Below are 23,540 nucleotides of genomic sequence, written 5' to 3'. Positions count from 1 at the left end.
TTCAAAATTAGAATCTGTAATTTCTTGATGAAAGATACAGAATGATTTAATAGTAATTGTTTTAAATGCAATCTTAAGGTAAAACATTCTGGTAAATGAGAGAAAAGCAAGTATTTGGAGGTAGCTACTGAAATACGTATGTATTTACAAACAGAACTTTGGTAAAGAGCCAAACAAAATAAATTATGACTCACTGTCAGTAAACATTCCCTAAATGTCCTTGCATTATAATGCGAGAGTTACTGTTTGGTTTTAATAATGTACATAAAATGAATTATTATTTACATTCTTCTTCAAGGCATTAAAAAACAATCATCTAGGCCAGGCGCGGTGGCTCACGCGCCTGTAATCTCAGCACTTTGGGAGGCTGAGGCAGGTGGATCACCCGAGGTCGGGAATTCAAGACCAGCCTGACCAACATGGGGAAATCCCCGTCTCTACTAAAAATACAAAATTAGCCAGGTGTAGTGGTGCATGCCTGTAATCCCAGCTACTCGGGAGGCTGAGGCTGCAGAATTGCTGGAACCTGGGAGGCGGAGTTTGCAGTGAGCAGAGATCGCGCCATTGCACTCCAGCCTGGGCCACAAGAGCGAAACTCCGTCTCAAAAAAAAAAAAAAAAGTTAAAAAACAATCATCTCTATCATCTATTTAGCAGAAAGGTCTTTAAAGTCTAACAAATTAATTATCATTTAATTTCTTGTCAATAAGTTGAGCTACTTATTTATTTATTTATTTATTTTTGAGACTGAGTCTGGCTCTGTCACCCAGGCTGGAGTGCAGTGGCGTGATCTTGGCTCACTGCAAACTCTGCCTCCCAGGTTCAAGCGATTCTCCTGCCTCAGCCTCCTGAGTAGCTGGGACTACGGGCACACACCACCATGCCCAGCTAATTTTTGTATTTTTGGTAGAGACAGGGTTTCACCTTATTGGCCAGGCTGGTCTTGAACTCTTGACCTTGTGATCCACCCGCCTCAGTATCCCAAAGTGCTGGAATTACAGGCGTGAGCCACCCTGCCCAGCCAAGTTGAGCTACTTTTAAGGAACTAATTAAACACAATAAGATTTTATTACCCATGTGTCTTGTAGTTGCAACTCAAAGTAGCTGTTAGAAGTTTAAGACATAAAGGTTTTTATTGTATTCACTTCAGAGGGGGGGTCAAGAGCTAACAGCAAATGCTTTTTTTCTGAGCCTGATATATCGCAAAGTTTACCTCTGATTGAGATCACATGTGAAGGAATTGGCAATCAACTTAGAATGGTAAAACTGGAAGGAATGTTAGAGATCACGACGACTTTCATTTTACAGATGAGGAATCAAACATTTGAAAAATTATTTTAATAAAAGGAGGCTTCTTGAAAAGGAAAAACATTTTTCATGGAATTCTACGTGTTGTACAAATCCAATCAATAATCTTTTAACACCTCTCTGAAGCGCTGGCCTTACCATCTTTCCACTTCACACACACGAAAACTAAGGTATAAGCAAGCTAAGCAGTTCACTCATTATCTCTATGAATCAGCATCATTGCTAGGAACGGAAGCCAAAACTTTGAATGTTGGACCATTCTCACAGATGTAGGCTGATCTCATTCGCAGTGATGCTGGCTGGGGGCGAGGGGAAGCCATGTTTGGGAAGTCCCCTCATGGAACACTGCATTTCACAAGCAGAGTACTTGCTGACTAACGCAAAATGCTTCCTTAAATGAGTTCCAATGGATAATGCAGTCTTTAAGAAACAGAACAGTACAATACATCAGTTTCACCATCTTCCTCTAAAACGAAGTGCCTTTGAATCCTAGACATTTAAAATTTGCTTTAAACCTGCTTCCATCTCAAATATTCAGGAAATGCATATAATTTCATTTACTTTTTATTTACACAAGTCGCCTTTGTGAAACCCTTCATGTCCCCAGCGGATATTTAGGAGGAGACTATTCATTTGGATCCCTCCTTCTGTCTTTAGAAATATTATCACCCTGGAACGTTAAGTACTGATCATAAGCAAAATTAAAGTTCCTGGCGAATCTCAATATATGTCTTTTTCCCACCAAACATGACAAACTTCTAAAGACAACTCAACCCTTCACATACACACACACACACACACACACCCTCAGCTGTGCCAGTGTCCCTGATGTTGCATCTAGTTAACCTACAAGACCCATTCCCACGGGTCATGACCCAGTATTTCTGATGACCACATTCAGTGCTGTGAGGTGCCCAAACCATTACCGCATCCACCTCTCTGTGAACCATGCCCAGTGAGCTCATGCAGGAACCTGGGTTGGAGCGCTCCTTGCTGTGAAGCTAAAGGATCCATCACGAATCTGGGAACCCTCCCTCGCGGTTCTCCCCGGCCACACAGCGTGGGAGCCGCTGGGTTAGGGTAGGAAAAGGGGCGCCTGCTTGGAGGAGGGTGGTCGGGTCATGCTGTGCGCAGCCAGGGAAGCCGAGTTTGGGAAGAAGGCAGCCGGGGAGCCGGAGGGGATAAAAATACCCACAGGGGCTGAAAGAGTTGGGGAAGAGGGGGCGGCGAGGACGACCCCGGTTCAGGCGGGAAAGGAAAGATGGAAAGGGGGCGCAGGAAATGGGCGCCAAAGAAAGAAGTGAGAAATTGCGGAGGAGGAAGTCGTCCCTGGAAGAGGAGGGGCAAAGGGGAAGCGAGAATGGAGTGTTTGCACTTTCGAGAGGGAAGGGCCAGAGCCTCTCCCGACCAGGGCCGGCGGGGCGGACGCCTGGGGAAGGGGCGTCCGGGCGGGCTGAGGGGGCGGCGCGGTGCCCAAGGTCCCCGGGGTCCCTACCTGAACCGCTCCTGTCCCGCCGTGTCCCAGAGCTGTAGCTTGATCCTCTTGCCCGGCTCGATCTCCAGCAGGCGGGAGAAGAAGTCCACGCCGACGGTGGGGTCGCAGGCGGGGGAGCGCAGCCCGGGGAAGCGGCCCTGGGTGAAGCGGTGCAGGAGGCAGGACTTGCCCACGGTGGAGTCCCCGATCACGATGAGGCGGAACTGGTAGATCCAGATGGTCTCCATCGCTCACGTGCCCCGCTGGCTCCCGGGCCGCCCCACCCGCGGGCTAAGTTCGGCGGCGGGAACTGTCCTTTCAGCACCTCGCGGGCGCCCGCCCGCCGCCTTCCAGCATATTCCTGCGGCTGCGGCCGCCGCCTGGTGCCCGCCCTCTCGGGAGAGAGAGGCGGGGCCAGGCCCGGCTAGGGGCGGGGCCTCTGGACGGGGGCGGGGCGGGGGCGGTGGCGCGTGGGAGGGGGAAGCAGGTTTGCTGCCGCGAACTCCCGCCCCTGACCGGCTGCAAATCACTCTCCCTCAACGCTCACTGGGCGCCGGCAGGAAAGTGGGCGTGGCGGGAAGACGTGACAGCAGCAACAACCAAGGAAAATGAAGCAAGGTCTCAACTCCGGGAGGGTCAGCCAATGAAAAGTGAGAGTCGTTTTCTTACAGGCGTCAGGGCGGGTTGGTCAGATTAGGGCTCTGATTTTGGAAGTCCCTGAGGCCATAACTTGGGTCATTGCTTTGATTCCTCTTTTTTTTTTGTCCCCCAGGCTGGATTGATGTGGTGAGATCTCGGCTCATTGCAGCCTCAAGCGATCTGCCCACCTCAGCCTCCCAAGCAGCGGGGACCACGGGTGTGAGCCATCACACCTGGCTAATTTTCTTCTGGGTTAAAAAAAAATTTTTTTTTTAGAGATGTGGTCTCGCTATGTTGCTTAGGCTGGTCTCAAACTCCTAGGTTCAAGCGATCCATCCACCTCAGCCTCCTGAGTAGCTGGGACTACAGGCGGGGGCCACCACATCCCGCTAATTTTCTAACTTTTTGTAGAGATGGGGTCTTGCTGTGTTGCCCAGGCTGGTCTCGAACTCCTGACCTCAAGTGATCCTCCAGGCTCAGCCTCCCAGTGCTGGGATTACAGGTGTGAGCCACCACACCCTGCTTTCTTGTCTTGATGAGAGCCACCTCCAAGGCATTTTAAGGTGAAGGAGTTTTGGGCAGGATTGAAATAAATTTGCACAGCCAGTTCTGGGTGCTTCTAGCAAGGGCTCTGGCTGTTGCTGCGTGCTGCCACTGTCTGTTCTTCACTGCTATGAGTACCACAGAAGAGTGAGAAACGCCAAGTATCATCCCCATACCCTCTGGGGCCCTCCAACCCTGGGGACAGTGGCAAAAAAAAAAAAAAAAAAAAAAGCCGGGGAAATGTTGAGAAGCTCATGAAATTTTCAGCTCTCCTTGGTCTCCATTGTTTAAGTCAGAAAAAAGCGAACAGGTGGTCTCTTAGCTCATGTCTGATTAATGATGTAAGTAAACAAAGCAGAACTTAAATTCTGGTGAGATCTTACTACTTTCTTGTGCCTTTCCTCAAATTGAGTAATAGTGACGTCAAGGTTTATCTTTAAAAAGTGAAACAGTTTAAAAGTGTGTGTTAGGCCGGGCGCGGTGGCTCACGCCTGTAATCCCAGCACTTTGGGAGGCTGAGGCGGGTGGATCACCTGAGTCAGGAGTTCGAGACCAGCCTCAACATGGAGAAACCCCGTCTCTACTAAAAATACAAAATTAGCCGGGCGTAGTGGTGCATGCCTGTAATCTCAGCCACTCGGGAGGCTGAGGCAGGAGAATTGCTTGAACCCGGGAGGCAGAGGTTGTGATGAGCTGAGATCGTGCCATTGCACTCCAGCCTGGGCAACAAGAGCGAAACTCCATCTCAAAGAAAATAAATAAATAAATAAAAGTGTGTGTTTAGGCCGGTCGCAGTGGCTCACGCCTGTAATCCCAGCACTTTGGGAGGACGAGGCGGGCAGATCGCCTGAGGTCAGGAGTTCGAGACCAGCCTGGCCAACATGGCGAAACTTCGTCTTTATTAAAACTACAAAAATGGCCGGGTGCAGTAGTTCATGCCTGTAATCCCAGCACTTTGGGAGGCCGAGGTGTGTGGATCACAAGGTCAGGAGTTCAAGACCAGCCTGGCCAAGATGATGAAACCTCCTCTCTACTAAAAATACAAAAATTAGCCACGCACGGTGGCAGGCGCCTGTAATCCCAGCTACTCGGGAGGCTGAGGCAGGAGAATCGCTTGAACCTGGGGGGCAGAAGTTGCAGTGAGCTGAGATGGTGCCACTGCACTCCAGCCTGGACGACAAAGCAAGACTCCTCGTCTCAAAAAAAAAAAAAAAAAAAAAAAGCTACAAAAATTAGCCAAGCATGGTGGCACATGCCTGTAACCCCAGGTACTTGGGAGGCTGAGGCAGGATAATCGCTTGAACCCGGGAAGTGGAGGCTGCAGTGAGCCGAGATTGTGCCATTGCACTCCAGCCTGGGCAACGAGAGCAAAACTCCGTCTCAAAAAAAAAAGTGTGTGTTTACCAAAACAAAATTTTCAACAATTCCACTTTTTTCTTGTGCACATCCCAAATTCTTATATCGATATTCATCCCTATTTCCTTTGCTGTTTTGGAGGAATTGGTGTTGGCTGTGTTTAATCCCCTTTCACTTATCTTTTTGGGGCTTTTCCCAACAGTTGACTTTTATTTCATACCTTTTATACCTTGAATCTCCCCTTCTCCAGTGGCTTCTGCTCCTCAGCCTATAAACATGCTCAATTATCTACAATTCTAAAACTAAGCAAAACACCTCTTCATTACGCTTCCCCTTCAGATTGTTGACTCCTCCATCATTCTCCTTTTCAAATATCAGAAATGATGATCTATTATCATTTCTCATCTACCAGTTAGTCTTCAAGGAGGCTTATATACCCCTAACATACTCTCTGTGCCTAATATACCACTGCTTTTGATAAGGCTGTCAGGGACATCCTAATTATTAAATCCAAGCCCCCACCCCCACCATCCTCACCACCACCCCACTGCAGTGTCATCTAGTTTTAGTTGTCATTCTCCTTTTTTTTTTTTTTTTTTTGAGACGGAATCTTGCTCTGTCGCGATCTTGGCTCACTGCAGCCTCCGCCTCCTGGGTTCAAGCGATTCTCCTGTCTCAGCCTCCTGAGTAGCTGGGACTACAGGCGTGGGCCACCACACCCAGCTAATCTTTGTATTTTTAGTAGAGACAAGGTTTCACCATGTTGGCTAGACTGATCTCGAACTCCTGACCTCAAGTGATCCACCCCCCTTGGCCTCCCAAAGTGCTGGGATTACAGGCATGAGCCACTGCACCTGGCCATGACTGAATTTTCTGTAAGCACAACCTGAACACCCTTATTCCTTGGCTTCCACAAAAGCATTCTCTCCTAATTTTCTGTTCTTTTTAACCTTCTTCAATGACTCCTCTTTCTATGATTCATTTCTTCAATACTGAAGATCTTAAGAGATCCTTCCTTCATCTCTTTTCCCTCTCCCCACTTTTACCTTCACTTTGGGCTTTTTCTGGCAACCTCATGTACTCCAGTGACTTCAGTTACCCCCTTACCCATATCAAATGTCTTCCCCCAATCTCTGCTCTGTATTCAGGACCCGCATTTCCAACTACTTCTCTTAGATATTGGATATGCATTTCAGACTCTACGTATCTGTGTTGGTTAGGATTCTTTGAAAAAAACTTCAGTTAGGGTGATATTAAAAGATGAGAGCACTTATTCTAAAGATATAGAGTGTTTTTACAGAATCCGCAGGCAGGAATGATGTTGGCATCAGAAAGGTATTTGAACTGGGAAAGAGAAAGCTGCTGCCGGGCGCAGTGGCTCACGTCTCTAGTCCCAGCACTTTGGGAGGCCAAGACAGGTGGATCACCTGAGGTCAGGAGTTCGAGACCAGCCTGACCAATATGGTGAATCCCTGCCTCTACTAAAAATACAAAAATAAGCTGGGTGCAGTGGCATGCTCCTGTAGTCCCAGCTACTTGGGAGGCTGAGACAGGAGAATTGCTTGAACCCGGGTGGCAGAGGTTGCAGTGAGCGGAGATCGTGCCACTGCACTCCACCCTGAGTGACAGAGCAAGACTGTCTCAAAAAAAAAAAAGAGAAAGCTGCAAGGGAGAATGTCTCTCTGTCTCTTTCATCTCCACTTCCTTCTGACATCTGCTAATTCTTGACTTTCTGCAGGCCCACTTTCTCTGCTGCTTAGTCCATGTGGAAGACTAGCTGCTGCAGTTTCCTGTTAGGTATCTAGACACACACAGACACTTATTTTCACTTCTCTGTAAAGACAACCTAGTTGTCTCAGTTTGGAACAGGTGTTTGTACCAAAGAGATACAGTGGGACAGGCATATGCAGTAGGTCAATCTATTTTGATGGGATATATGGAATATTTGCAGTCCTAGAGAAAGGGTGGATCAATGGCTTCTCTTTGGATCAAAAATTTATTTTCTAGAATGTCAGAAAATGAACTTAGTAGCTTTCTTGCCATGTCTTCTTTTGCTATATTTTATAGGTTGGTTAATGGCTTTTAGTATCTATGCTAGCTCCCTAGACAAGTGAGGGCTTGTACTGAATCTGAGCTGGAGGGTGGGGGTTTTTGTTGTGTATAGCAGAGAGATGGAATGGAATAAAGGTGGATGAGTGTAGAGCTAAAGATAATTTCATAGACAGCATCCAAGGCAAAACTAATAAAACGGAATGGAAAGCTGGCAGGTCAACTGAAACCTCTTAAAGGGACTGGGTAGAAGGAGCGGAATATAGCTATAATGGCCAGGTGTGGTGGCTCGTGCCTGTAATCTTAGAACTTTCAGAGGCTGAGGTAGGAAGATCACTTGAGCCCAGGAGTTCAAGACCAGCCTAGGCAACATAGTGAGACCTCAATCTCTATTAAAAAAGAAGAAGAAAAAAAGAAGAAGAGGAAGAAGAGGAAGTGGAAGTAGAAGAAGAAGAAGAAGAAGAAAGAAGAAGAAGAAGAAGAAGAGGAGGAGGAAGAGGAGGAAGAGGAGGAAGAAGAAGAAGAGGAAGAAGAAGAAGAAGAAGAAGGAGGAGGAGGAGGAGGAGGAGGAAGAGGAGGAGGAGGACGAGGGGAAGGGGAAGGAGAAGGAAGTTATAAGCCAATAGAATGAAAACTGAGGACTCCAGTCCAAAGAAAGTTTTAAATTTAGCCAGGGGAAAAGGCATGGGAATTTTTATAAGGTCCCTGGCCTCAAGAACAATCTAATGAGGACACCAAGATAGTTTTGACACCACATTGATGGATTAAGGTAGAATAAGAGCTTCATCCATCTTGGACTCCTTTTTCTCCTTTGCCGTATTCAGCCAATCACTAAACATTGCTGCTTTTACCTCAGTGATATTTTTCATATTTGTGACTTTTTCTCAACTCCCCACTGTCAGTGTTTTTGTTCAATCTCTCATCGCTTTAGACTGCACTGTTTAGTAGCCTCTATGTTAGTTCCTAGGGCTCCCATAACAAAGTATATAACAAAGCCACAAACAGAGCAGCTTAAAATAGCAGACATTTATTGTCTCACAGTTTGGGAGGCTAGATGTCCAAAATCCAGGTGTCAGTGGGGTTGGTTCTTTGTGAGGGCTGTGAAGGAGGATATCTGTTCCATGCCCCTTGCCTGGCTTCTGGTGGTTTGCTGGCAATCTTGGCAACACTTGGCTTGTAGATGTATCACTCAATCCTCTACCTCCAAATGGCATTTTCCTAGTCTCTTCATGCAGTCTTCCCTCTGAGCATGTCTGTGTCTGTGTCCAAATGTCCCCTTTTTATAAGGACATCAATTATATTGGATTATGGCCCACCCTAATAACCTTATCTTAACTACTTGACTTCATCTGTGAAGACTGTTTCCAAATAAGGTCACATTCTCTTTTTTTTTTTTTTTTTTTTTTGAGACAGGGTCTCACTCTGTCACCCAGGCACCCCAGGTTGGAATGCAGTGGCATGATCTCAGCTCACTGCAACCTCTGCCTCCCAGGTCCAAGTGATTCTCCTGTCTCAGCCTCCCCAGTAGCTGGAATTACAGGCAGGCACCACCACCCCCAGCTAATTTTTGTATTTTTGTAGAGATGGGGTTTTGCCATGTTGGCCAGGCTGATATCAAACTTCTGACCTCAAGTGATCTGCCCGCCTCGGCCTCCAAAAGTGCTGGGATTACAGGCGTGAGCCACTGTGCCCGGCCCCAAATAAGGTCACATTCTGAGGTACTGGGGCCTAGGACTTCAACATATCTTTTTTAGGGGACTCAATTCAACCCATAACAGCCTCATGTTTAGTTTCTACTTTGCTTCCAGAATTACTTTATTAAAGATCTTTGATGATTCCTCATTTGCTCTAGAATAAAGTCTAAATACCTAGTCATGTCATGTCTGACCCATAAGAGGGCATCCACATAAGAGGGCATCCACAGTCTAGTCAGATGATTCTTCTATGTGACATGCTTTTCATGCTATACTTTTTCTTTTTATTCATACTATTCTCTCCTCTCCTTATACCTGTTTCACTATTCACCTGGTCAGCAAATTTCTACTCATCTTTTAAGGCCCAGAACAAATATTTTCTCCTCTTTTTAGTCTTTCTGAACCATCTCTAACCCTAAGGAAAATTAACTTAACCCTCATCTGTGTTCCTATAGTAGTTAAGGAACGAGTACTCTGTACTTCTCTGATATCTGAGATATCATATATACATCTTCTCATATATATCTCATATATCTTCTCATATTGAATTATGGCTATTGGCTTGACTATCTCTCTTACTAGATTGTAAGTTCCTGAAGTCCAGAAGGACTTATTAATTGATAGTTATTTTCCCAACATGCACAATTAGCACATAGTAGATGTTCCTTTTTTAAAATTTTTTATTTTTTTGAGACAGGATCTCACTTTGTCTCCCAGGCTGGAGCGCAGTGGCACAATCATGGCTCAGTCCAACCTCAACTTCTTGGGTTCAAGCAATCCTTACATCTCAGCCTCCTGAGTAGCTGGGACCATATGTGCGCACCACCATGCCTAGCTAATTAAAAAAAATTTTTTGTAGGGATAGGGTCTCCTATGTTGCCCAGGCTGGTCTCAAATGCCTGGCCTCAAGTGATCCTCGCACCTTGGCTTCCCAAAGTGTTGGGATTATAGGCATGAGCCACCACGCCTGGCCAGTAGATGTTATTTAAATGCCCATTGAGTTGAAATGAAGTATGTTAACCATAGTTGTGTATGACCTTGAACTTTTATATGTGCCGTCTGCACACAACCTCATGAGATTTATGATGACTCATTTGATTAATGTTATGATTATGAAAATGTGCCTTTGAATAATCCATGGAAGAATTCAGTTTTAAGTATATTTGTATTATGCATGCTGGGTATAAATAATTTAATATTTTAATTAAAAATATTATGTTATATTTGTGTTTATAAAAGTTTAAGCTTAAAAAATAAGGCAAGTAGAGCACATTTAAGAAAGCTAGTTAAGCTATTACTCAGGAAATTCTGCTTTAATATGTTTTTTTAAGAAGTGAAAATGGCTGGGTGTGGTGGCTCATGCTTGTAATCCCAACACTCTGGTGGGCCAAGGCAGGAGGATTGCTTGAGCACAGGAGTTTGAGACCAGCCTGGGCAACAAAGTGAGACCTCGTCTCCATAAAAACCTAAAAAAGGCTGGGCGCAGTGGCTCACGCCTATAATCTCAGCACTTTGGGAGGCCAAGGTGGGTGGATCACTTGAGATCAGGAGTTCAAGACCAGCCTGGTCAACAGGGTGAAACCCTGTCTCTACCCAAAATACAAAAATTAGCTGGGTGTGGTGGCAGGCACCTGCAATCCCAGCCACTTGGGAGGCTGAGGCATGAGAATTGCTTGAACCCAGGAGGCAGAGGTTGCAGTGAGCCAAGATTATTCCACTGCACTCCAGCCTGAGTGGCAGAGCAAGACTCTGTCTCAAAAAAAAAAAAAAAACCTTAAAAAAAAATTAGCCAGGCATGGTAGTGCAAGCCCATAGTTCCTACTACTCTGGAGGCTGAGGCAGATGATCACTTGAGCCTGGGAGACTGAGATTGTAGTGAGCCATGATTGTACAACTGCACTCCAACCTGAGTGACAGGACAAGATCCTGTTTCAAAGACAAAAACAAAAACAAAATAGACAAAAAAATAAAAACAAACAAACGAAAACCCCAGGCCGGGCAGGTGGCTCACGCCTATAATCCCAGCACTTTGGGAGGCCAAGGTGGGCAGATCACGAGGTCAGGAGATCGAGACCACCCTGGCTAACACGGTGAAATCCCGTCTCTACTAAAAATCCAAAAAAATTAGCCGGGTGTCGTGGCACGTACCTGTAGTCCCAGCTACTCCAGAGGCTGAGGCAGGAGAATTGCTTGAAGCCAGGAGGCGGAGGTTGCAGTGAGCCGAGATCGCGACACTATGCTCCAGCCTGAGAGACAGAGTGAGACTCTGTCTCAAAAAAAAAACAAACAAAAAAAAAACAAAAAACAAAAGACAAAAACAAAACCAAACAAACAAATAAAAACTCAAAAACTAAAATGAAGCATGAGAAGTGCTGGAGAGGAGGATCTGGCTTCTTTTTGCTGTACAAAGCCCTGGACCAGAAGTCGGGAGACCTGGGTTCTTGTCCCAGCATTGCTACTACCTTTGGGAAAATTTTGACAAATCACTTGCTCTCTCTGGGTCTCTGTTTCCTCATCTGGAAACTAAAAAGATTGAGCTACAACTGAAAGAGTTGAGTGTTTTTCAAAATGAGGGTTGTTTATTTCTGCTATGCTTTCTGAAAGCTAAAGGAAGCCCCCAAAATACAAAATTAGCCAGCCGTGGTGGTGTGCGCCTGTAATCCCAGCTACTTGGGAGGCTGAGGCAGGAGAATCGCTTGAACCCGGGAGGCAGAGGTTGTGGTGAGCCAAGATCGCGCCATTGCACTCCAGCCTGGGCAACAAGAGCAAAATTCTGCAAAAAGAAAGAAAGAAAGCCCACAAAATCAAACAAAAAACCAAAAATAACAGAGGGGAATTGTAAAGTCAATTTGGTAAGTAACCACCAGAATTCAAAACAAAATGTCAGGGTGTATCATACATCATGATAAATATGTTTCATAGATTTTGTTTGTTTGTTTGAGACAGAGCCTTTGTCTGTTGCCCAGGCAGGAGTGCAGTGGCGTGATCACAGCTCACTGCAGCCTTGAACTCCTGGGTTCAAGTGCTCTTCCCACCTCAACCTCCCAAGTAGCTGGGACTATAGATGCATGCTGCTGAGCCTGGCTTATTATTATTTTTTGTAGAGACAGGGTCTCCCTTTGTATGCAGTCTTGTCTCAACTCCTGGCTTCAAGCAATTCTCCTGACTCAGCCTCTCAAAGTGCTGGGATTACAAGCATAAGCCACTGCACCTGGCCTGTTTCATAAAATTTTTGTTTCATTACTATGTGTGTATGTGTGAACGTGTGTGTATGTATGTACACATGTGTGTGCCACGTCAAGAAATAAAATGTATTTATTTTGGATCAAAGTAAACAAATGTCAAAACCCAGTGAGCTAGATGATCTCGAATGCATCTTCTGGTTCTGAGATTCCCTTAAAATGTTCCGAAATTCTCCATGTGCTCTGTGATTGCTGACACTCATTACCTCTTGAGTCTCATCTTCTACCTTCCCTTTAGTGTCTCCTCAATAACCATACTGGCTTCCTTGATAGTCCTCAAGCATCTAGGAAGGCTGCCACCTCTGAGCCTTTGCAGTTGCTGTTCCCTCTGGAGCAGCTCCTCCCCTTCATCTTCACATGGCTTGCTCCCTTACCTCATTCACCCTGCACTCAAATATCTTCATGAAGCCTTCCCTTCCTACTCTATGTAAAATTGCACCTTTATGGCCGAGCATGGTGGCTCATGCCTGTAATCCCAGAACTTTGGGAGGCCCAGGTGGGCGGGTCATCTAAGGTCAGGAGTTCAAGACCAGCCTGGCCAACGTAGGGAAACCCCGTCTATACTAAAAATACAAAATTAGCTGGGTGTGGTGGCATGCACCTGTAATCCCAGCTAATTCAGAGGCTGAGGCAGGAGAATTGCTTGAACCTGGGAGGTAGAGGTTGCAGTGAGCCGAGATGGCGTCACTGCATTCCAGCCTGGGCAACAAGAGTGAAACTCCGTCTCAAAAAAAAAAAAAAAATTGCACCTTCATGCCCTTCTATGCTTTATTTTTGTCCTTAGCACTTGTCATCATGTAATGTAATACGTATTTTACTTATTAATTTTGTTCACTATCTGCCTCCACCAAGATACTGTGAGCTCCATGAGTCTAATTTTTATTTTGGTTTGTTTTATTCACAAATGTATCCATCTGAAATATAGTAGACAATAAATATTTGTTGAAAATAAATTTAAAGTATCCATAAGTTTCCTTCTAGAAGACAAAATCAGGATAACTGACCTTTAAATAAAAAAGATAATAATATTTTATTTTGGACATGAAGATTGAAGATTTTGGATGAGAATTAAAGAAAAAAAATTTAGGTTGGGGTGCGGTGGCTTAGGCCTGTAATCCCAGCACTTTAGGAGGCTGAGGCAGGTGGATCATTTGAAGCCAGAAGTTCAAGACCAGCCTGGCCAACATGACAAAACCAAACCTTTGCTAAAAATACAAAAATTAGCTGTGCCTGGTTGTGTGCACCTATAGTCCCAGCTACTTGGGAGGCTGAGGCACAAAACTCACTTGAACCCAGAAGGCAGAGTTTGCAGTGAGCCGAGATTGTGCCACTGCACTCCAGCCTGGGTGACAGAGAAAGACTCTGTCCCCGCACCCAAAAAATAAAATAAAATAAAATAAAATGAAAACGTCTGATTTATGGAAAGTGAAGAATGGGTGTTATCAGCTACAATTTTGTACACTGTTTATGAACTGAATGTTTTATAACTTTTTTTCTATGAATGGTTACTTTTGATAATATATTTGATGTCAGAACTGGATATTTTCCTAGTGGCTCTACCTGAGAATCATGAGCTAGACTATTGAGGGTCCATACGGAGTGATTAATATCCTCACTATCCTTAATCCCTCTATTCTCACAATCCGGGGCTGACTAAACTGGAACCAAAGTTGTGATTTGAACTGATAAGCTAGTCTCATCTATGTAATGGGATGGCTTGAGAAGGAAAATTTTCCAGAGTTTATGGATAGAGTGAACTGATATGTAATTTCATAAAATTAGATGTCATGATGTTGGAATATATGTTCATGCCATTCTTTGTTGTTGTTGTTGTTGTTGTTTTGAGACGGGGTCTCACTCTGTGGCACAGGCTAGAGTGCAGTGGTGAGATCATGGCTCACTGCAGCCTCGACCTCCCCAGGCTCTGATGATTCTCCCACCTCAGCCTCCTGAGTAGCTGGGATCACAAGTACACACCACCATGCCTGGCTAATTTTTTTGTATTTTTGATACAGACAGGATGTCACCATGTTGCCCAGGCTAGTCTCAAATTCCTGGGCTCGAGCGATCCGCCTGCCTCTGAAACTGGAGGAGTTCCCTTATCCCCCTCACAGGGCATGCAACAGGGATGTGGCTCGCTTCTTCAGTCCTCGGCTGCTCAAACCTCTAGGGGGAGCATGTAGAGGATGCAGGTACTGGGGAGTGTTTTTGGGCTCCGACCCCACAGCAGCATCTAGGGTTAAGTGTTTACAGCTCTCGAAGCCCCAGTGGGCCTGTGTTACAGTGTGCTCTTGCAGTTTTGCTCTCTGCAGGTGGCTTGTGTTAAGCAGCTCAATTAGACTCTCTGTCTTATCACAAGGGCTTTCTGTATCCCGGCTTCTTGCCCTAGTGTACTGGAAAAATCGGATCACATGTGGGCTTGGAGGATGGGTGCAAGGTTTTATTGAGTGGGGGAAGTAGCTCTCAGTGAGATGGATGTGGAGCCAGAAGGAGGATGGAGTGGGAAGGTGGTCTTCCCCTGGAGTTGCGCCACCTAGCGGCTGGGCTCTTCAAGAACCACCCCTGACAGAATTCCACGTTGTCCTGTTGTCGATGGCCTGTCAGTGTCTGCTGGTGTCTGTTGGTGTGTTCTTCTGCTCTTCTGCTCCTCTCGACATCCAGCCCCTTGTGTGTGTGCCTGCTATGGTCTTGGGTTTTTATGGGCACAGGATGAGGGGCATGGTGGGCCAGAGTGGTCTTGGAAAATTCAATATCTGGGCATGGAAACAGGAGTACCTGTTCTCAGTTAGGTCTGTAGGCACAGGCCCCAGGGTGGAGCCCTTGCCAGGGACCCCGCCTTTCTCTACCCAGCACTTCCCTGCCCCCTCCTGTATCACCTCGGCCTCCCAAAGTGCTGGGATTATAGGTGTGAACCACCCTATAATCCTATAGCGTGGTTCCTATAAGAATCCATGCCTGGCCATGCCATTCTTAATACTTTAAAATATCACCATTTATGCCTTCACAATTATTTTCTGAATAGGACAGGCTATCAGAAGTGAATCAGAAGGGGTAAAGTGAATCAGAAGTCAATTTACATTTTAAAAATGTAATAATAATTTTCTAACTTGTGTAGCCATTATTTTATTTTGTCGTATTTGCAGTGAGGGGCATCTAGGTGGTAGTATTTTCTCTATATACTCCTCTATACTTAAAACATAAGACCCAGGATGGGCATGGTGGGTCATGCCTGTAATCCCAGCACTTTGAGAGGCCAAGGAGGGAGGACAGCTTGAGACCAACCTGGGCATCATAATAAGACCTTCCCTTAAAAAAAAAAATGGTCAATTTCACTCCCTATCTCCAATCCAGTTGTTACCCCCACAATAGGTGAGTTTGGATGCTTGGCGAGTGATAGCCCAATGACCACAACCAAGGAGGATTGAGCAAGGGGATTTTCTTACTTGCAACAAGTAAGGAAAACACTGGGGATAGCTCCCAAAGCAGTGCCTCTCCAGGCTGGGGGCTGGGACAGGTTTTACAGGCATAAGGTAAGGATGTGGGATCTGACTGAATCTGGCAATAAGGTGATGCTGGGAGGCATTAACTGACTAGATCCTGCCATAGGGTGACACCAGGGCTTGATCTGATTGGATCCTGCCATGTGGTTTCCAATTCTTAATTCAGTCCCTGCTCCTTGGTCTGAGCACTTAGGTTCTCCATGTGGTTGCATGCTTTGTTCATCTGGGCATGCTCAGGTTATAGTGATGTGAGGGTCCACGGCAACTGAAAAACAACCACAACTTTGAACCAGACCTGGCAGGGTGGCTAACACCTGTAATCCCAGAACTTCGGGAGGTTGAGGCGGGCGGATTCCTTGAGCCCAGGAGTTGGAGACCAGCCTGGGCAACATGGAGAAACCCTGTCTCTACTAAAAATACAAAAAATTAGCCAGCTGTGGTGTGGGTTCCTGAGGTCCCACCTACTTGGGGGTCTGAGGTGGGAGAATCAGTTGAACCCAGGAGGCAGAGGCTGCTGTGAGCCGAGATCCTGCCACTGCATTCCAGCCTGGGTGACAGAGTGAGACTGTCTCAAAAAATAATAATAATACTTTAAAAAAAGGGCAGGGCACAGTGGCTCATGCCTGTAATCCCAGCACTTTGGGAGGCCAAGGTGGGTGGATTACCTGAGACCAGGAGTTTGAGACTAGACTGGCCAACATGATGAAACCCTGTCTCTACTAAAAATACAAAAAATACAATTAGCAGAGGATGGTGGTGGGCGCCTGTAATCCCAGCTAGTCGGGAGGCCGAGGCAGGAGAATTGCTTGAACCTGGGAGTCAGAGGCTACAGTGAGCCGAGATTGTGCCATTGCACTCCAGCCTGGACAACAAGAGCAAAACGCTGTCTCAAAACAAAACAAAACAAAACAAAACAAAAACAAGTGGTTGAACCAGATTGGTCTGGTGCAGCTACACAATGAGCTCATACAAACATCCAGGTGTTTAAATGACCTGAATTTGGAAAGAGGGAAAAAATATCTTGAATTGACAGAGTTTAAATCTATAATGACTGGAAAAAATGTCTTAAATAGCGAAATGTCTTAAATAACTATAACCACTTATCATCAAGTGGAATGGAGGCTCTAGGTAAAGACAGTTGAGTTGTAGAAAGATAAAGTTACAGTTCAGTTGCATGCCTGAGGCAGTAGATTGAAGCTATCTTTCTTGCTACAAGAGGAAGAACTGATCCAAATGATAACTGACATGTAATAGTGATTTAAATATATCTACACTCCAATAAACTATGCCCATTCATTCAGACATAACATGCATGTGACTCTCAGAACTTTTGTGAGAACTGTATATGAAAATAGTGAATAAAAAATTCTACAGCATAGATATCTGCATTTAAAAAAAATCATCTCTCTGGAATGCTACTTCTAATATCAGCTGTTGTATTCTTATAATAGGATCTATCTGCCTCTGTCACTTCAGAAGTCGTTCAGACTGGCCACATTTTGGCCAATTCTACCTCGTGTATATCTTTCAAATCTGTCTCCTTTTTGCCTTCTCCAGCACTGTTGCCCTGATTTTGAACTTTATCGTCTCTTGCTAGAATTGTTGCAAACTCAGTTCCCCAGTCTTGCCCACTTCCAAAATATCCATCGAAGCATGCGAAGAATCTTTCTAACATATAAATAATCTAATCATTAACTCCTAGCTCAAAATATTTCAACCCTCCCATCCCTGGTACGTACACACATATTGCTTAAAGAATAAAATTGATTAAGATGGTGTAAAAGATGGTTTGGTCATCATTAAACTTTCTTTCATCTTCTACTTGTTAAAGTTTGCTCTTACATTATTACACAGTATGTGGCTCCTAAGATGCCATCGTCTATCCTGATACATGCACTTGGCATGTATCAGGATTAGATTAGGCTGTGAGTGACAGAAAAAAAACAAAAATAACAGTGGCTTAAACAAGGTGGAAATTTTTTTTCTCTTTTATATAAAAAGAAGTATAAAATTGAGCCTGCCAGGACTAATAGAGCAGCTGTCTATATTGCTAGACTCTGGCTATATTGCTGCTCTGCCCTGTTCTGCAAGTGGCTTTTACCTCAGAATTGCTGCTTAAACATCAGCCATCATATCCCCATTCAGGCAAGACAGGGAAGGAGGGGATGACGTGCACATCCTCTTAGTGATTCTTAGTGAATCTCAGGACTTTTATAAAAACTCTTAAAAAAGGGAATCTGTTTTTTTTTTTTTAAACTCTGTAAAATTTAATTTCTCTAAAAGCTTTTTTCTTTGAAACGTTTTCAAATTTTTTTTTTTTTAATTGATCATTCTTGGGTGTTTCTCGCAGTGGGGGATTTGGCAGGGTCATAGGACAATAGTGGAGGGAAGGTCAGCAGATAGACAAGTGAACAAAGGTCTCTGGTTTTCCTAGGCAGAGGACCCTGCGGCCTTCCGCAGTGTTTGTGTCCCTGGGTACTTGAGATTAGGGAGTGGTGATGACTCTTAACGAGCATGCTGCCTTCAAGCATCTGTTTAACAAAGCACATCTTGCACCGCCCTTAATCCATTTAACCCTGAGTGGACACAGCACATGTTTCAGAGAGCACAGGGTTGGGGGTAAGGTCACAGATCAACAGGATCCCAAGGCAGAAGAATTTTTCTTAGTACAGAACAAAATGAAAAGTCTCCCATGTCTACTTCTTTCCACACAGACAGGGCAACCATCTGATTTCTCAATCTTTTCCCCACCTTTCCCCTCCTTCTATTCCACAAAACCGCCATTGTCATCATGGCCCGCTCTCAATGAGCTGCTGGTCACACCTCCCCGACGGGGTGGTGGCCGGGCAGAGGGGCTTCTCACCTCCCAGTAGGGGTGGCCGGGCAGAGGCGCCCCTCACCTCCCGGACGGGGCGGCTGGCCGGGCGGGGGGCTGACACCCCACCTCCCTCCCGGACTGGGCGGCTGGCCGGGCAGAGGGGCTCCTCACCTCCCAGTAGGGGCGGCCGGGCAGAGGCGCCCCTCACCTCCCGGACGGGGCGGCTGGCCGGGCGGGGGGCTGACACCCCACCTCCCTCCCGGACTGGGCGGCCGGCCGGCGGGGGGGGCTGACCCCCCCACCTCCCTCCCGAACGGGGTGGCTGCAGGGCGGAGACGCTCCTCACCTCCCAAACGGGGTGGCTGCCGGGCGGAGGGGCTCTTCACTTCTCAGACGGGGCGGCTGCCGGGCGGAGGGGCTCCTCACTTCTCAGACGGGGCGGTTGCCGGGCGGAGGGTCTCCTCACCTCCCAGACGGGGTCGCGGCCGGGCAGAGGCGCTCCTCACATCCCAGACGGGGCGGCGGGGCAGAGGCGCTCCCCACATCTCAGACAATGGGCGGCGGGCAGAGACGCTCCTCACTTCCTAGATGGGATGGTGGCCGGGAAGAGGCACTCCTCACTTCCTAGATGGGATGGCGGCCGGGAAGAAGCGCTCCTCACTTTCCAGACTGGGCAGCCAGGCAGAGGGGCTCCTCACGTCCCAGACGATGGGTGGCCAGGCAGAGACGCTCCTCACTTCCCAGACGGGGTGGCGGCCGGGCAGAGGCTGCACTCCCGGCACTTAGGGAGGCCAAGGCAGGCGGCTGGGAGGTGGAGGTTGTAGCGAGCCGAGATCACGCCAACGCACTCCAGCCTGGGCGCCATTGAGCACTGAGTGAACCAGACTCCGTCTGCAATCCCGGCACCTCGGGAGGCCGAGGCTGGTGGATCACTCGCGGTTAGGAGCTGGAGACCAGCCCGGCCAACACAGCAAAACCCCATCTCCACCAAAAAAATACGAAAACCAGTCAGGCGTGGCGGCGCGCGCCTGCAATCGCAGGCACTCGGCAGGCTGAGGCAGGAGAATCAGGCAGGGAGGTTGCAGTGAGCCGAGATGGCAGCAGTACAGTCCAGCTTCGGCTCGGTATCAGAGGGAGACCTTGCAAAGAGAGGGAGAGGGAGACCGTGGGGAGAGGGAGAGGGAGGGGGAGGGGGAGGAGGAGGGGCAGGGGCAAAAGGGAATCTCTTTTGTGGTTGGGTCTAGGGTTGTGAGGCTAATGAATGCAACCTCCTTGGCATGGTGGGAAGAAAGCCTGCCTGAGAATGGAACCAACCTAGAGGAAGCAGTGCTTTTTGCTTTTTTTTTTTTTTTTGACACAGAGTCTTGCTCTGTCGCCCAGGCTGGAGTGCAGTGGCGTGATCTCGGCTCACTGCAAGCTCCGCCTCCCAGGTTCACGCCATTCTCCTGCCTCAGCCTCCCGAGTAGCTGGGACTACAGGCGCCTGCCACCACACCCAGCTAATTTTTTTGTATTTTTAGTAGAGACAGGGTTTCACCGTGTTAGCCAGGATGGTCTTGATCTCCTGACCTCGTGATCCGCCCGTCTCGGCCACCCAAGGTGCTGGGATTACAGGCGTGAGCCACGGTGCCCAGCCCAATGCTCTTAAACCCAGGAAAAAAACTGGGTTCTTGTGACATCATTTCATCCCCTGCATCAAACTATAGCCAAAGCAAGAGGTACTGTTGGATTTTTTAAATTACATGAGTGATTATAAATTGAAGCCTTAACACAGAAAGGCAAATATCACATGTTCTCGCTTATTTGCGGGATCTAAAAATCAAAACAATTGAAGTCATGGAGATAGAGAATAGAAGGATGTTTACCAGAGGCTGGAAGGGTAGCAAGGGGGCAGCAATGGTGGGGAGGTGGAGGTGGTTAATGGAAACCAAAAAAAAAGGTTAGTGGCCTGGTGTGGTGACTCACACCTGTAATCCCAGGACTTTGGGAGGCTGAGGTGGACAGATCACTTGAGGTCAGGAGTTCAAGACCAACCTGGCCAACATGGTGAAACCCTGTCTATACTAAAAACACAAAAATTAGCTGGGCGTGGTGGCGCATGCGTATAGTCCCAGCTACTTGGGAGGCTGAGGCAGGAGAATCACTTGAACTCGGGAGGCAGAGGTTGCAGTGAGCAGAGATCATTCCACTGACCTCCAGCCTGGGTGACAGAGCAAGATTCCATCTCCAAAACAAAACAAAACAAAACAAAACAAAACAAAACAAAAAGAAAAAGAAAAAAAATAGTAAGAAAGAATGAATAAGACCAGTATTGGATAACACAACACAAGGACTGTAGTCAATAACAATTTAATTGTACATTTAAAAATAACTAAAAGAGCCGGCGCGGTGGCTCACGCCTGTAATCACAGCACTTTGGGAGGCCGAGGCGGGTGGATCACCTGAGGTAGGGAGTTCGAGACCAGCCTGACCAACATGGAGAAACCCCGTCTCTACTAAAAATACAAAATTAGCTGGACGTGGTGGTGCATGCCTGTAATCTCAGCTACTTGTGAGACTGACGCACGAGAATCGCTTGAACACAGGAGGCAGAGGTTGCGGTGAGCAGAGATTGTGCCATTGCACTCCAGCCTGGGCAACAACGGTGAAACTCTGTCTCAAAAAAAAACAAAAACAAAAACAAAAACAAAAAACTAAAAGAGTATAATTGGATTGTTTATAACACAAAGGATAAATGCTTGAGGGGATGGTTGGATACTCAATTTTCCATGATGTGATTATTATGCATTGTATGCCTATACCAAAATATCTGATGTACCCTATAAACATATAGTCCTACTATGTACCCGCAAACATTAAAAATAAAAAAAATAATTTTTAGAAGATGAAAAAAATAAGGCTAGGCACTATGGCTCACACCTTTAATTCTGGCACTTTGGGAGGCTGAGGTGGGCAGATTGCTTGAGTCCAGGAATTCAAGACCAGCCTGGCCAACATAGCAAAACTCCATCTCTACAAAATATACAAAAATTAGCTGGGAGTGATGGTGTGCGCCTATAGTCCCAGCTACTCAGGAGGCTGAGGTGGGAGGATTGTCTAGAGCCCAGGAGGTTGTGGCTGCAGTGAGCTGTGATCACACCACTGCGCTCTAGCCTGGGTGACACAGAGAGACCCTATCTTAAAAAAAAAAAAAAAAAAAAAAAGGCTGAAAAAATTTAGGCATTAGTACCTAAGGTGGATAAGGAAGGAGGTGGGCCAGGCACGGTGGCTCATGCCTGTAATCCCAGCACTTTGGGAGGCTGCGGTAGACGGATCACCTGAGGTCGGGAGTTCAAGACCAGCCTGACCAACATGGAGAAACCCAGTCTCTACTAAAAATACAAAATTAGCCGGGCATGGTGGCAGGTGCCTGTAATCCCAGCTACTCGGGAGGCTGAGGCAGGAGAATTGCTTGAACCTGGGAGGTTGAGGTTGTAGTGAGCTGAGATCGAGCCATTGCACTCCAGCCTGGGCAATGAGAGCGAAACTCCATCTAAAAAAAAAAAAGGAAGGAAGTGAAGATAGGAAAAAAGTGGTAGTGTCAGTGTGTCAATGGATTGGCACTCTTTGAGACTGAGTTGTGGCATTGCACTACTTGAGCAAAGGAGCTGGATGGACAGCAAGGAGGTTGAGATCTTAGATTTGTGATTTTGGAAGTAGTACCATTTCTGGTGATGACAATTCCAGGATGTCACTCTAGAAAGTGAGTACCTCAGGTGGTGTAGATGAAAAACGTCTATGAAGATGAGGACATCAAGGAACTGAGAGGTCAGTGAGTTTTATAGTTTCATGTAAATGCCCTTCAGTGTAGATCAATGGCGTCATGTCTGAGCATAATTCAGCAAGAAGAGATGATAAGAGGCTGGGGCCTAGCTAGCTCTCTTCTGGTTTGGTCTTTCCTAGGGATAGATCTTGACATATGCTAGGGGTATAGACCACTCAGTCAAACTTCCATAAATACTATTTGTCTTACTTTGGACAAGGATTGTGAGTTCAATGTTATTCTCAATGCCAGGCACCTGGAGTATAACCCCAGCACTCAAAAAGGTAGGGTCCTAAATTTTAATTTTTAAAGGTAGGGTCCTAAATTTTTATTTTTATGTATTTATGTATTTATTTTTATTTTTATTTTTTTGATGTGTAAAAAGGCTTTATTTGCAGGGGAGCAGGAATTTAATCAAAGAGGCCAAATCCCATGTCATCGTCCGACTCCTCAGACTCCTCCTTCTCATCTTTCTTCTCCTCTGCTGCAGCAGGGGCGGAACCAGCAGCAGGGGCTGCAGAGCCTGGGGCAACAGAGATGGCCACAGCCACACCGGCAGGTACACTGGCAAGCTTGCCAATACTCTAGGCAATGACGTCTTCATTGTTTTCTCCATTCAGCTCACTGATAACCTTGTTGAGCCGGTCGTAATCCTCCTCGATGCCCACGCTGTCCAAGATCTTCTTGATGTCCTTGGCGCTGGGGGAGGAGTTACCCCCGAGGGCAGCCAGCAGGTAGGAGGCGACGTAGCGCATCGCCGCGGCGTCTGCGGCGGCGGCGGCGGAGAAGCCTCATGCGTGCGACCTCGTTTGCATCAGGGAGGAAAAGCTATTTATTTATTTTTGAGAAGGAGTCTCACTCTCATCACCCAGGCTGGAGTGCAGTGGCACAATCTTGGCTCACTACAACCTCCACCTCCTAGGCTCAAGCGATTCTCATGCTTCAGCCTCCCAAGTAGCTGGGATTACAGGCGCCCACCACCACACCCAGCTAATTTTTGTCTTTTTAGTAGAGATGGGGTTTCTCCATGTTGGCCAGGCTGGTCTCAAACTCCCAACCTCAAGTGATCCACCCTCCTTGGCTTCCCAAAGTGTTGGGATTACAGGCGGGAGCCACT

General features: G+C 46.7%; 1 protein-coding gene, 1 long non-coding RNA gene and 1 pseudogene across 2 annotated transcripts in view, besides 2 other annotated features; all 3 read right to left on the bottom strand.

Annotated features, from left to right (window-relative positions):
• Window positions 1-3,150, bottom strand: part of RAB39A (RAB39A, member RAS oncogene family) — a 35,035-nt gene extending 31,885 nt beyond the window's left edge. Inside the window, exon 1 of the mRNA NM_017516.3 lies at window positions 2,803-3,150. Within this exon, the coding sequence (NP_059986.1) occupies window positions 2,803-3,029 (227 nt within the window). The 5' untranslated portion in view covers window positions 3,030-3,150. The remainder of the gene's footprint in view (window positions 1-2,802) is intronic.
• Window positions 2,675-2,894: a silencer, noted in NCBI's record as "silent region_3875". NCBI's record gives its function as "represses an Ori minimal core promoter by ATAC-STARR-seq in GM12878 lymphoblastoid cells {active_cell/tissue: GM12878}" and the evidence as "EXISTENCE:reporter gene assay evidence [ECO:0000049][PMID:35858748]".
• Window positions 2,925-3,414: a silencer, noted in NCBI's record as "silent region_3874". NCBI's record gives its function as "represses an Ori minimal core promoter by ATAC-STARR-seq in GM12878 lymphoblastoid cells {active_cell/tissue: GM12878}" and the evidence as "EXISTENCE:reporter gene assay evidence [ECO:0000049][PMID:35858748]".
• Window positions 8,375-19,009, bottom strand: LOC124902747 (uncharacterized). The gene is made up of 2 exons (XR_007062877.1): window positions 18,969-19,009; window positions 8,375-8,644 (listed from the first exon to the last, which is right to left on the bottom strand). It is a non-coding gene; the product is annotated as an uncharacterized LOC124902747 (long non-coding RNA).
• On the bottom strand, window positions 22,796-23,251 carry RPLP2P3 (ribosomal protein lateral stalk subunit P2 pseudogene 3; annotated as a pseudogene).

This window comes from Homo sapiens, chromosome 11 (genome assembly GCF_000001405.40).
Source record: "Homo sapiens chromosome 11, GRCh38.p14 Primary Assembly".
NCBI lineage: Eukaryota > Metazoa > Chordata > Mammalia > Primates > Hominidae > Homo > Homo sapiens.
Note: the sequence above shows the minus strand (reverse complement) of the source record. Positions and strands in the feature narration are given on the sequence as shown.